Genomic DNA, 14,906 nt, shown 5'->3' with positions numbered 1-14,906 from the left:
ATTTAGAGACTACAGTAGAGGACTGAGATAATGTATTGTATACTGGAAATTTGCTGATCAAGTAGATTATAGGTGGATATGTGAATTTGATTGACTACTGTAACGATTTCATTACGTACATCAAACATGTACACCTTACACTTATACACTAAAAAGCTATTGTTATCAGACTACATCTATATTGTGATAGAACAGAATTGATTTTTCAAAATAAATACAGATGTGTTTTCCACAGAGAAAAAATTCACACTAATTTTACCATGTTATATAATTTCTTTGTATTGTGAAAATTGGGCAAGGAGTTATTTCTTTTCAAAATTTTGTCATCATGTCCTATTTTACTGAGTTTTATATTTTATGTTGAATAGCTTTTAAAAAAATTTTTTTAGAGATGGGGTCTCGCTCAGTTGCCCAGGCTGAAGTGCAGTGGCATGATCATAGCTCACCTCAGCTTTGAGTTCCTGGGCTCAAGCAATCCTTCTGCCTCAGCCTCCTGGGTAACCAGGACTATAGGGGTACACCACCATGACCAGCTAATTAAAAAAACAATTTTTTTTTGTAGAGATTGGGGGTCACACTATGTTGTGTAGGCTGGTCTTGAACTCCTGGCTTCAAAGAATCCTCCTGCCTCGGCCTCCCAAAGTGTTGGGATTACAGGCGTGAGCCACAGCACCTGGCCTTAACATTTAATAATATGCAACTTCAACCACTTTAGCGAAAGTTGGAATTTTCACCTTAGAGGCAAACTTTTTTAGAGCATGTCTATCCAAAGAAACAATATATGTAAATAATCCAAGTTATTTGGAAGGGATAGGGAACAAAAACCACTCCCCATGTAGACAGCATCATAGCAAGCAAGCATTGGCAATATTACTCAAGCACTGACACTGTTTGGGAATTACTCTTCAAGTGGCCAGTAATTTCAGAAGCACCGAAGAGAATCCCTGGCCTCACCTAGCAGGGTGAGGTTTCCACCACAGTGAAGTTCTACTGCCACTTGTGCTAAATCAGTTTCTTCAAACTCACTTGCTCAGGACAGCCAATCTAGGACTGGCTTCTACTCATTCTTCCTCAAAATTCAGCACTTTCTCTTCATCCTCCCTGGTCCTGGCCTGAACCATCCCGAATAACTTCAACTATTACTTCTGCAACACAAGGCAAAAAGCTTCCCTGAATATCACTGGTACCATTACTTCTTTTCTCAGAAGTTTACAGATGCTCAGGTCTCCCTGGCCTTTAGGCATTTTGCACTATATTATAAGAAGACCTCTGATCTCTAGTCTTTCACATCTTGACTTCCAATGATGAACTGGGCCTTCCTCTCTAACTGTATGTTTCTGGATGGCTTGCCAATGTTAGTGCCTTGGCTCTAGCTAAGGACAGACAATGACTGAAGACTAGCAGGCCAATGTCTGCTCTAGGAACAGGCATGTGATCCAAGGTAGTCAAAAGTCCTTGTCCGAGATTTTTTTAATTTGCAACTAGAGAAGAAAACTTACATTTTAGGTTAAAAAGCTAAACGGGTGTAATTTGGGGCTGCACGTAACCATTTTTTCTGGTTAAAGAGAAGCTTTCTGTTGGGGGGGAGGGGTGGAAAGCAGGTGAGGAAGAGCCTTGAAGAATTTACTTGCATCACTCTTGAAATCAGTGTGAAGTGTTTCCTGGCTGGGCACGGTGGCTCATGCCTATAATCCCAGCACTTTGGAAGGCCAAGGCAGGTGGATGACCTGAGGTCAGGAGTTGGAAACCAGCCTGGCCAAACATGGTGAAACTCCCATATCTACTAAAAATACAAAAAAATTAGCCGGGCGTAGTGGCGGGCCACCTGTAATCCCAGCTACTCAGGAGGCTGAAGCAGGAGAATCACTTGAACCCAGGAGGCAGAGGTTGCAGTGAACCGAGACTGAGTCACTGTACTCCAGCCTAGGCAACAGAGCGAGACTCTGTCTCCAAAAAGAAAATAGTTTCCTTTTTGCTTATACTAGTTGGCTTTGGGCCAGTGACTTTTACAACAACAAGGGTTGTGACTAGATGACAAATGAGAAGAAAAAAATGCCCTGGGATGTTCAGATTTAGGTAAAGAGGCTTGCTTTTCTTACAATTTGTTTTAGGGCTTCATTTCAAACACCTAATTGTCTATTACATGCCAGGCACTGGAAGCATAAAGGTGGCTACAGTATAAGACTATCTCTGCCTTCTGAGACCTAATAGTCCAAAAGATTCTCTTGGTGTGGGTGGCTTACTGGTCACTTCAGAGCATAATTCCTAAGTAGTTCAGAGGACACTCCTTAGTGGCCAAGATGTTCCCCCAGTGGCTCTGAAATGTCTATCATCTGTACCTCATGAGGACCTCTTTATTTCTTTTGGGTTTCTACTGGACCCACTGATTTCAGTATTTTAAAATTTAGTCTACATTCACTTCTTCCATACTAATCACGATAGTACAGACTTCAGTAATATATTTCCTTGTTTTCTTGAAACCAAAGTAGACTTAAAAAGTAGACTTTTTGCTTAGAGGATTTATGTGTAGTCTAACATACTATAAAATGTACTTATTTATTGTTTACTTTGACATTCTCTCCCCCATCATCCCACTCCCCAGACGGGCAGAATTTTTTGGTTTATTTCATTTACTGATGTACACTAATCACTAAGGCACACAACTATGAGTTCAAAATGTATTCAAGAGAATTGGAAGAACACATGAGTGAGTGACTAATTGGAAGACCTTGCCACTGGGACTGAGATAATCATTAAAATCAGTTGGCTAAACATTGTTATCTATTGGATGATAAAGAGCAGCTTCTGCAGCAGCTTTCTCCTTTTCATAAATTGCCATACCATACCAACCCCATCCCCCAAGTCTTTCTTTATATATAGCAATGCTTTCACTCAGGTTGTGGTCCAATCTCAAGACCAGGAGGCTATTTATTCTTCATCTTTCCAGTGACTTTACACTGCTCTATTCTGATCCACTCTGCAGGGGTTTGGAGCTTAACTGTGAGAAATGCCTCTCCCAGCAACCCCCACAACGGGCTAAGGCCTTTCAATATACGTAGTCAAAACATTAGATATTCTTCATAGCATTTATCACAGTCTATCTTACATATTTGCATGATTATTTTATTACTGGCTCCCCCACTAATTCAACTATAAAGTTCTTAAGAGTAGTGTCCATGTCTGTTTCATTCATAAAGCTTAAAGCACTTGGCACACAGTAAATATTCAATAAGCATTTGTTGAATGAATAATTAGATGGATGAATATGAAATTCCCAGCCTGAATCTATAAATAGCTAGATAGTCATTTAGGTAGCTGAGATAGGATAGGGGAGTGGGTTGTGTTTGCTTTTTGAGGGGAGTAAAAAGATAATGTCAGGAGTCCTTTGTGAAAGTCGGATTTTAGCCACCTGAAATGCTATGTCCTCTCAAGCAGCTCAAAAACCAAACCACCATTAATATGTCCACCTGGGGCTCCCCCTCCCACACCTACTCCTTTATTCCGGTCAAGGGTCTCATCATCATTCTTGTAGACACTCAGACACAAAGGCTTTGAGGAGCTTTTGACCTCTTTTTTTCTGTCAACCTCCTTGCTCAGCAAGACTCCTAAGGCCTGTCAGCTCGTCTTTAACATCTTTGATCAATGGCCTTTCCTTTCCATTCCCGCTGCCACAAACTTAGTTCAAGTAACTACCCAATTATGGCAACAGACTCAGAAATGGTCTCCTTGATTCCCACTTTGCTCCTGTCCAATCCATGCTGCCTGTATTGAAATCTCCCTAAAACCTTCATGTTGCATAATTAACGCTATACTAAAAAACATCTGCAAAGGCTTGCCCGGAAAATAAAAACCTCAGCCTGACATTCAAAGACCGGACACAGTATGGTTCCAAACAGCATTCCTAGACTCACCTCCCATCATCCTAGCATTTTCTACAGAACCATCACTAACAAGCCTAGTTAGTATTACTCATCACACATATTCACATATTATACGTGTTCCCAGCCCCATGAATGTATCCTCCCAGTCTTATCAACTCATCTGAAAGTGAATCCCATCTATACCCTCAGGCCTAGCTCAACTCCCACCTCTTCAAGTCGTTCCAGGGCAGCCCAGCCTAGGCTGCCTCTTCCTCCTCTGAATTCTTATGACTCAAACTAGCATCTTCTTTTTTTTTTTTTTTTGAGACAGAGTCTTACTCTGTCACCCAGGCTGGAGTGCAGTGGCGTGATCTCGGCCCACTGCAACCTCTCCCTCCTGGGTTCAAGCGATTCTCCTGCCTCAGCCTCCCGAGTAGCTGGGACTACAGGAGCCCGCCACCACACCCGGCTAATTTTTGTATTTTTAGTAGAGACAGGGTTTTACCATGTTAGCCAGGTTGGTCTCAAACTCCTGACTTCAAGTGATCCGCCTGCCTCAGCCTCCCAAGGTGCTAGGATTACAGGCATGAGCCACCATGCCGTGCCATTTTTTTACACCATTAACTCTAACTTACACATACACATATACACATAACTTTTCACCCTTAATTTCATCTTATATTTATCTGTTATTTAAAAAAATGAAACAGTCACAAGAAAAGAGCATCTGCTAACAAATTCAAAGAAATTCCATCCTGTATAGGACAGACAGGTCCTATGTAAGGCCCTGTCTCCAGGTCATCGACTCTTCAACTCTTCCAATACTTTTTGTGTTTTTGTATTGACCACTTCCTCCCCCTTCCTAAATATAGGCCAGCTTTGAGAATAAGAAGAAACGAAGGGGTCTATCCAGATTAGGGAAGAAAAAGTCCCTTGACAAATCCAGAAAGTGTTCTTAAAATGCAACCACTTGAGTTGTGGGGACTATTCTTTCCCCATCTTGATTAACTCCTTAAATAACTAGGAGCCAGCATCATCATCATCACAGATACCACTTCTTTAGAGGCTGACTAGATGCTGGGCATCACAGGAAATACAAGGAGGATATTGAGCAAACCTGGCCCTAAGCAGTGGTCCTGGGGCTAAAAATAAAAGAATTCCACAACAAAGTCTACTGAGGCTGGTAGTCCTGGCACACCAACTTGAAAACGAAAGAGACAACAACAACAAAAAGGCTATTGTGAGGATTATAGGAGTTTAATGCTATGCTGAAGTGCCTAGCACTAAATAAGTCTATGTTCCCCAAACCATCTCCCTGTTTTAATATACTGCATATTTATCTCTACACTACAAACTCCTTGAAAGCTGAGATCATAGTTCGTAGTTGTTTTGTAACTAATGAATTAGCATAAAGTGCTTTATCAATGTAAGGAATCACATATTAACAGTCCAAAACTCTTGTTATAAATATGGAAAAGAAATATAATGCCCACAAAGTGTTCTAAAGAATTATATAGCTCTAGTAATCAAAATTTGGTTATATTATTATAGAAAGTATAAAACAGTTTTTGGCCAGGGGTGGTGGTAATCCCAGCACTTTGGGACGCCGAGGTGGGCGGATCACCTGAGGTCAGGAGTTTGAGACCAGCCTGGCCAACGTGGCGAAACCCCTTCTCTACTAAAAATACAAAAAATTAGCCAGGCGTGGTGGTGGTGGGCACCTGTAATCTCAACTACTTGGGAGACTGAGGCAGGAGAACTGCTTGAACCCGGGAGGTGGACGTTGCGTGAGCTGAGATCATGCCAGCCTGGGCAACAAGAGTGAAACTCCGTCTCAAAGAAAAAAAAAAAGTAAAGTATAAAACAACTTTAAATATCAAATACATAGTTAATATATTCTAATGTTTTTTATGGCACTTGTTAGATTCCCCATCTTCATTCATATTTTGAATTGTGAAAATCTGAAGAAACAGATTTTTCTCCTTACTTGCAACGCTAGTTTTGGTAAGTTTGGAATTAGCATACATTAGATCCAGCTATTGCAGATATTGAAACAAAACCTCATACTCTATTTGCCTATGTAAGAAAAAGTTCAATTTTCAGAACTTAGAATTTTAAGTTAAAAAAAGCAGTATGAAAACATAACCTTAAAAAATTTGCATACTATTTTACCCCCGCAAATATTGTTTTGATACCCAGTCCTGCAATGACCTTTAAATAATCAGAATAAAGTTTCTCACTATTCAGAGAGCCTTAAGATTTACTTGGCACTCTAAGTTAACCATCTTAAAGCTTTGAAGCACAAAGGAATAGTAAATGACACATCCATTTTAAGTTACCATGGCCTGTCATTACAGAATCATTAAGCAATATTTTCAAGGAGCAAGCAGAAAGCTTTATAACTCAAACGTATAAGATTTTCTTCTGTGCTTTATGGGCTAAGTTATTTGCGTTCTCATAAGAATACGGAATATTTAAAGCCACACTTTACAAGTTATAAAATTCACTTATTTTCAGCATTCTTCATAAAGATAACAGCATAAATTAAGTTATAAAAACAATATGAAAATTCAATAATCAAACTCAAACTCTGTGTAATGTATTTACACACACAAACACATAGTAACATAATTAAGAGGCTGGCTAGCTTAGGGCACATAGAAAAATTATTCAGAAAAAAAGTATTAAATATCTTTAAAGATAAAGATTTTTGGCCAGGCACCATGGCTCATGCCTATAATCCCCCATTTTCGGGGACCAAGGCAGGAGGATTGCGTGAGCCTAGGAGTTCAAGATCAGGCTGGGCAACATAGGAAGACCCTGTCTCTCTCAATCAATCAATCAATCAAATTAGCCAGGCATGGTGGTACACACTTGTGGTCCCAGCTACTCGTAAGGCTGAGGTGGGAGGATCGCTTAAGCCCAGGAGGTCAAGGCTGCAGTGTGTTGTGATAGAGCCACTGCACTCCAGCCTGGGTGACACAGTGAAACCCCCCTCAAAAAAAAAAAAAAAAACAAAGTAAGATTTTTCATATTTTACTGTTTTTTGGCCAAATGGATGTGAAGGAAAATACATTCTCTATATTACATATTTTTTTAATCTAGCTGCAAACTTGTATTAAAGAACCAATTTCAAAGTGTATAAAATAAACTGATTAACTCAAACCTATACAACTCTTACGCTGATCAGGTCCTTTGTTTACATTAGCAGTACTATCTGTTTACATGAAGATATGTATACAAACATTTTACAAGGAAACGTAAGCACAAAAAGCAGCAAAAGAAAGTACACACAACCCTGGCACTACATACATCATACTTATCTGTGATTGTCTATCCAAAGCTTAAAGAGGGAGGATAAAATAGTTAAGAAGGATAGAAAAGCTAGCTTTCCATATTTCCCGCATCATCTCTGCTTGGCATTGTGAGTTCCTTGTTTTCCAGAATATTATAAATCCCAGAACAGTACAAAATTCAAAGAAATTTAGAAATGGAATTTAGAGGTTGCCTTTTCCAGGTAACCTAATTTAAAGACGTGAAGACTGAGCTCCAAAGTCATTAAGGTCAAGACCACATTTCAGTTCCTATGACTTCCCCACTACAATCCTCTCCTCTTACCACCTACAGAGATGCAAGTGTCAATACCAAAATATAATTAAGAGATAAATTCTTTCTGGTAACCTGCCATTTTTAACACCAACCAACATTTGTCCAGGAGAGGAATAATTTAAGAGTTATATATATTTCACTTCACAATGGAAGCAGAAACAACTGAAATTCTTTAGGTCTCCCTTCTTGCAGTGAGAACTTTCCAGAACACAGGATTAGGAATAGTCAAAGGGCTGACATGTCTTTTATTGGCATTCCTATCTTTCCACTTCCCATGTGAACAAAATCCACCCCGATAACCCTGTAACCTCCTTTACATACAATTTGATCAATAACCACCTTTCTTCATCTGAGAAAGAAATGACAATGAAAAACTATAGCCACCAACACGAATCACTTTCCTACTTCAGACTCCTATCTTTTCCTCCACTCTGAATATTCTAAATATAGTTTATGTTCCTGGGGTTTCTCATCCTGCTGTCTTTGCAAACTGTAAGTTCCAAAGGCATGTTTCTGCTGTTTTATTATGTGTGTGACAATGGGAGTAGTAACTCTGACTACTTCATGAATGAATAATGTATGTGAAGGTACTCTAAATTGTAAAGTTTAAGATAAAAGTAGTGCCCCTATCCTATTAGAATGATAAATAACAATACAAACAAGTAAAAAGTTTCTAGGAAATTACAGTGCACATTAGGGATTTAACTAACCTTAAAAGAAATTAGTCTTCTGACATTACCCAGAAGATAAAGCAGTAGCACCTAACATTCAGTACATCATATATTTATCAATGGTTAGTTTTTTTAAAAGTTTAATGAGTGATATGCAACACTATGCTCAATTTTAGGAGAAATTACTTCCATAATATTATAAGTTATTTATTGCTACTTTTGGACACAATTACTGGCTATGAATACCAAAATGATTAAAACCTACAAGTTTAAAAATGTCTTTAAAGTAAAATTATTATAGCTTTCTTAATATTGTCTTAATTTTCCAGAGAAACCTACTTAGGCATTAGACATGGCACTCAAATAAAATTCTAATTTGTTTAAGTAAACATAAAAGAAAACCTAATCAAAATGGCTCGTAAAACAAAAGAAACTCACTCAATGTCTTCCTAACAGCTTAGTTCTAAATTAAAACATACATACTCAGCCCACACAGAATAAGATTTTGTACTATCAAATAAACATTCATCCAAGAATGCACGCAAAGAAATTAAAATGTTATTGAAAATTGAAATGTTACCTCTGTTTTTATAAGATGAGCTAGGCTTAATGTACAGTAGTCAAAATTACATTGAATAAATGACCTGAAATGAAAAAACTGTTTTTCTTCACATATACCATACTACTAGCTTGACAAGAAAAGAAGTATCCCTTTTCGTGGCAATATCAACTCACTTTAATTTAGGATGGAAATAACCAATAGAAAAACATTTGATGACTGCATTTCACTCAAGTATTTTTTTAGGCCATCTAATAATGTATAGTATAATCTCCAAAGAAAAGATTTCACCCAAAAATATTCACAGAAAGACCATACCATGAAACTATTCCATTCCTGTATCTTCTGCTTTCTCTATTTCTACATCCAAAAGCAAGCATTCCTAATACTTATAAAAAAGCCCTTGACGTTTTATCTAAGTATCTTTCTAAAAGATTAAAGAACCATACAGGTAATTATAATTTACTGGAAGTATAACATGATCTTAAAAATGTCACAGTAAAAATAACTTTCTAGGCTCAATGAAATAAAGGTAACTTTAGCTAGGTATCTGTTATTGTTTATAAACTACTGAAGTCTTAACCCAGTTTGGCATTTCAGCATTCTCTTTCATGTCTCAGTTTATTAAAATTAAAGAACAAATAAGGTTAAACAATAAAAACAAACTCTTAGGTAAATAGTTTCTAATATAAAAATAAAAAGACAAAACCACCCATATTTTTCGTTGGGGGATTAAAATTTTTCCTACATGATGTTGACCTCCAGCTTTGTATTTGTCTCCAAGTAGTACTAAGTTATTAAGTTTGAACATAAATTAGTTTAATATTCTAAAGAACTGGTTTTAAGATTGGGACTGACTGGTCATCTTTTCTCTCAAGCTCTACTAAAAGCCTTTTTTAAACAAACATATCAATAAAACATCTTGACTTAGACATATTTAAATAAACTGAGGCAAAAATACAAACAATGCTCCAATATATGCTCATGAAATATTCAGTAACTATTTCTATTTTTACTCCCTGACCGTCATTGTTTATCAAATTGTGCCTAGCTTTACATCACTTTTGCTACCTATAAACAGCCCTGGTCAAAATATACATGAACAAGGTTCACTAAAAAAAAAAAAAAAAAAAAGATGTTCACGTAACTCAGATTTTTTTTTGTTTGTTATCTCTCAGCACAGATAATCAAAGATCAAAACTTTAAGTACCACATAGCTAATGACCAATAATCCTCTATTACCCAGGAATATACACAGAAGCACCAAAAAAAAAAAAAAAAAAAGGTAATTGTGGTCATATTCTGATGAAGCTGGACGATTCCAAAAGAAAAAAACGAAGATACAAAATTATTTTTAAAAGTGGCCATAAATGATCTAATTTCCAAATCAATGAATCGATGAATATTCCAGGCAAATAACATTAGAAAAGTAAGAGTGCCATTTTCTTCTCTCAAAATTCTGACACTATACAAAATAAAGAATACAGTCACCATTATATGATAAACTTCAGAAAATCATGATCAAGACTGGACATACAACTATTCAGCTGAGGAGTAATCACAGCATTCTAATTACGAAGGAAAAAAATGAAAGTCAAAAAACTCACTTTATATAGTATCTTGCACCTTCAAAAGTATATGCTTCTTCCCAGCCAGTAGGCAAATCTAAAACAATACATATATTACAATTAGTATTACTTCAATGATAGCAAAATAAGTCTCAATCCATTTTAATTATCCATTTTCATTTATTAGCTGTTTTAATTAAGTAGATTACTAACAAAAAAAGTGTTGAGCTGGCAATACAACAGATATCATTTTTTGAAAAACAGCAATTCAAATTTAGAGCCACCAGAAAAGTAACCATAATATTAGAGATTATCTGACCTGAGCACACACTGTAATATATTAGGGTGGAGAGGAACTATGTTCTGGCACCCAAGAAAGCAAAGGGAAGCCTTCTCATCCCAGGTGGAACACTCATGAATGACTAGCAAAAAAAAAAGCTGGGTATAACAGGCAACGCCTGCCTCTTCTTGGGTATATTGTGTCTATTTAAGACCGTATTTTTCAGCTACACAAATGAATCCATCTAGGAAGTGTCACCAAAAAGAAGGCAGAACTTCCTAACTACTTAATTAATGGAAAAGAAATGACACCGAATACTTCCGTGTGTGTTTCTAAAAATTTGACTAAGAGACGTGAAGTTTCAAGTAGTAAAGTTGGGGATGATTCAGGTGAACAATGGTCATTATGTGCTACATATTATTATTAATGACAAGTTGTTTGGATTTCATCAAAATGCCTCTTGGAAGTAAAAACAACCGATGTGTGTACAAAACCAGAGTCCAAGCAAAGTAAAACCAAACCAGAAAAAAAAAAAAGTGAAATCACATAAAAGAATAAAATTTTTCTGTGGCGTGAATGTTACCAAATCTGTGGGGTTAACTAGGACACTTATTTATATCACTCATAATTCCATAGGATAATTAGTCTAAATAATTTAAATGTCATATCGTCTTTCATGAAATAAATCTATCATTATCCATAAAAGCAAAGAGGCCATCAAAGTTGGAATATGCGTGTAAAACACCAGAAAGGTATATTGAAGCAAAAGCCTGCACCGGGGAATTGAGAAACATGATAGTGTATTAGTCAGAAATGCCTTAAAAATGTAAGCTCATCATGCTTGCTACACCAGCCTTTCCTTTCTTCCTCCACCTTTTTGCAAATTTGGAGACATTAGTCACTTCAGTGAACTCCAGCATTTCACAGAGAGGCAGGTTTGTTCAATATCCTGGCAACTTTAACAGATTCACGGAATGTCAGAGTCCGAGAGAATGTACCCCAGAGGCCAGCTCTGAGGACTGCTGAAACTGGCCTCGCCTTCGACCCAAACTGCTCTCAAGCCTTTCCAATCACCAGGACTAGAGGCAGGCCAGTAAGAGAACACATGTTACATTTCAAAGACAAACAAGTCACGAATGTAAACAAAGAATGATAAAAGAAACCCAGACCAGTACAGAAACTACGAGGAGCCTTTTCCAGCTCCACTCACACTTAGCATTCAAACAAGCTCCCAAAGCCACCCGAGAGAGCCGCTTCCCCACGGACTCCCTCCAAACAGGGCCCGGGTGCCCCCATACGGGACACCCCCTCGCACGCCCACCGCCTCCTGGCAGTCTGTGCAACCTCCGTGCGGCTGGCGGGGACTTTAGATCCGGATCGCCAGCAACTGAGGCTGCGAACGCCTCCTCCGGCTCCGGCTGCTCCTCCCGTGGCAGGAGGGAACGCGCCAAGCGTTTCCCGAGCCGTTCCCTGTCACAGAGAGGATCGCAGCACCCCCGAACTCCTCTCCTCCTCCTCCTCCTCCTTCATCAGCCACCTACCCACAAGTCCCACCTAGGAGGAGGAAGCTGCACGGCAGGAGGCAGCGCTCCTGGGAGGAGGGGGAGGATGTGGTTACGTTATCCCGGCGGGCGATCGGGGTCCGGGGCTGCAGGGAGGGGAGTGGGTAAGGACTGCCTGAAGATTGCTGGGGGGCAAGACGGCAGCTGGGGGTCACCGGGGAGTGAGTAGCGGCCGCGGAGGAAAAACTCAGGACTCCAGGTTTCAGGGAGGGGAGCGTCGCCACTCTAGGGTCGCGAGGGTCGTCTAGGCTGGGATGGGGGGAGAAGGCGCAGGAAGAGGGCGCCGTCTCCAAGTGCTGATGAAAGGCTGAGGAGAAAGAGGCGCCCCGAGACTGGAGAGAACTCCCGGCGGCGGAGTCCCCGTGGCCCCTCTACCTGCGGCCGCTCCCGCCCGGCCTCCGCCCCGCCTCGCCGCCTCCCGGGGCCCGCGGCGCGGGGCAGGTTGCGGGGAGCCGGGCGGCCCGGGCTCTGCCGCCTCCTCCAGGCGGAGCCCAACTCCGTTTGGGCCCGGCGTTACCTGTGCTCTGCCGCCGGTGTCCGGTGACCACCGCCTCGCCGGTGACGGGGTGCAGCCAGGTGGTGCTCTTGGCCTCCTCGCTGCAGGGGTGAGAGAAGGGGCAGACACGGAGCGTGAGAGGGGACGCGGGGGCGAGCCGAGGGGCTGCAGGAGCACAGACCCGGGCTCTCCCCCGTGTCGCCAGCCGCCCGCCTCCTGCCCTCCCGCCCCCGCGGGCCCCCGTGCCGTCCCCGGCTCTTTACTTGATGAAGAAGACTCGGCCGCCCCTGGTGATCCCGTAAGTCCAGGACCGGGGCAGGGAGATCCACTCCAGGTTCAGATCCGCCGCCATGTCTGATCCCTAGCCGCCGCCGCCGCCTTCTCCTGCTGCCGCCGCGGCTGCCGAGGGAGGAGGGAACGAGCGAGCGAAGGGAGCGCGGAGCGAGCGCGCCTCCCCGGCCCGGCGCGCCCCCGCGCGCGCCCTACCCCCTCGGGCGGTGCCCGCCCCGCCGCCCCGGCAGGGTCCGGCCCCCGTCGCCGCCCCTCCGCATCCCGGCGGCCGCCGGCCGGCCGCCCCGCCGCGCGCTCGGGGGATGGGCAAGCGGCGCCGCGCCCCAGACCCCTCCCTCGGGCCCCTGCGGCGCGCCCGCCCCCTCCGCCGCGCGAAGGTTCCGGGATCGATTAAAAAAAAAAAAAAAAAAAAAAAAAAACGCGTCCTGCCCCCAGGGCTTTGCCCGAAGGCTTCCCATCCCAGGGCGCGATCAAAGGGAGCCTAATAATGCCCAAGCCCCTGATTTCTCTCTTTCAAACAACAAAAACACAGCGTCTGAGCTTTGTTTTATAAGAGCTGTTGGAGAGCCAACAGATTTTTCCAATATATTTATCGTTTTAAAATGGAAAGCTGTTTTTATTAAAGCACACGAAAGGCCTTTCCTGTTTGTTTGTTGTGTGCCAGATATCAAAGGTTGGACGTGATACGTGGCCCCATGAAATATGAGTGGATTTAGACTTGACAAAACAAGTTTTTTCTCTTCCTAGGCCCCTTAGGTCATATCTTATAAAATAAAAACTCGTCTTTTTCTGGTACTTGTTTTTAAAGATTCACTTAACATCAGTGTGGATTTTTACTTGCCCTGTCTCCAATAGATTACAATAATAGCTTATTTTATGGAGTCCTTGTGACGGTGTACATTTTTAAATCTTCACAACAACTATATATATATGTGTGTATATATATATATGTGTGTGTGTGTGTGTATATATACACACACACACACAATCTATAAAAAATCCCCATTTTACAGATAGGAAAAATGAAGTTTAAAAACACAGTAGTTTGCCCAGTCATAGTAATAACTGCCAAAGCCTGGATTCAAACTGGCTGTAGGATTTCAAAAGTATATTTGTATAACCTCCTTGCTGTACAAGCCCACTTTGTTTTACTGCGATTCACTTTATTGCTGTTTGCAGATCTTTCACATCTTACAAATTGAAGGTTTGTGGCAACTCTGCATTAAGCAAGTCCTAGCACCGTTTTTCAACAGCATTTGCTCACTACATGTCTCTGTGGCACATTTTGGTAATTCTTGCAATCTTTCAAACTTTTTCATTATTGTACCTGTTATAGTGATCTGTAATCAGTGATCTTTGATGTTACTGTTGAAATTGTTTTGAGGGCACCATGAACTGAGCCCATGTAAGACAGGGACTTAATAAATGTGTGTGTTCTGACTGCTCCACCAACCAGCTGTTCCTCTGTCTCTCTGCTTCATCTTGGGCCTCCATATTCCCTGAAATGAAACACTAATAATTGTCTAATAATAATGGCCTAATATTGAAATTAGGCCAACCAGTAACCCTACAATGCCCTTTAAGTGACCAAGTGAAAGGAAGAGTTGCATGTCCCTTACTTTAAATGAAAAGCTAGAAACGATTAAGCTCAGATGTATCAACAGCCAAGAGAGGCCAAAAGCTCGGCCTTGTGTCAAATAATTAGACAAGTTGGGAATGCAAAGGAAATGTTCTTGAAGGAAATTGAAAATGCTACTCTGGTGAAAACATGAATTATAAGAAAACAAAACAGCCTCATTGCAGATAGGGAGAAAATTTTAGTGGTCTGGGGAGAAGATCAACCTAGCTACAACATTCCCTTTAGCCAAAGCCTAATCCAGAGCAAGGCTCTAACTCTCTTCAATCTTATGAAGGTTGAGAGAGCTGAGGAAGCTGCAGAAGAAAAGGTTGAAGCTATCAGGGATTTAAGGAAAAACACCATCTCCGTAACATAATAGTGCAAGATGAAGC

At 41.0% G+C, this 14,906-nt stretch overlaps 1 protein-coding gene across 42 annotated transcripts in view; it reads right to left on the bottom strand.

The window, feature by feature from the left end:
* PLEKHA5 (pleckstrin homology domain containing A5) overlaps positions 1–13,024 on the bottom strand; it is a 246,668-nt gene extending 233,644 nt beyond the window's left edge. For 41 of the 42 annotated variants that reach the window (NR_169820.1, NR_169818.1, NR_169816.1 and 38 more), the window contains exons 1-3: positions 12,869–13,024; positions 12,627–12,706; positions 10,307–10,364 (exon numbers count right to left, since the gene is read on the bottom strand). Coding sequence is in view for 35 of the 42 variants with exons in the window: in NM_001256470.2 (NP_001243399.1) it covers positions 10,307–10,364; positions 12,627–12,706; positions 12,869–12,957 (227 nt within the window). In the remaining 7 variants the exon portion in view is untranslated. Of the gene's footprint in view, positions 1–10,239; positions 10,247–10,306; positions 10,365–12,626; positions 12,707–12,868 lie in introns of all 42 variants that reach the window. The other variant, XM_017019503.2, reaches the window with a different exon arrangement.
* Positions 13,025–14,906: the final 1,882 nt, after the last annotated feature.

Source organism: Homo sapiens, chromosome 12 (genome assembly GCF_000001405.40).
Source record: "Homo sapiens chromosome 12, GRCh38.p14 Primary Assembly".
Classification (NCBI taxonomy): domain Eukaryota; kingdom Metazoa; phylum Chordata; class Mammalia; order Primates; family Hominidae; genus Homo; species Homo sapiens.
The sequence above is the reverse complement of the archived record's forward strand: the minus strand, read 5'-3'. Positions and strand labels throughout refer to the sequence as shown.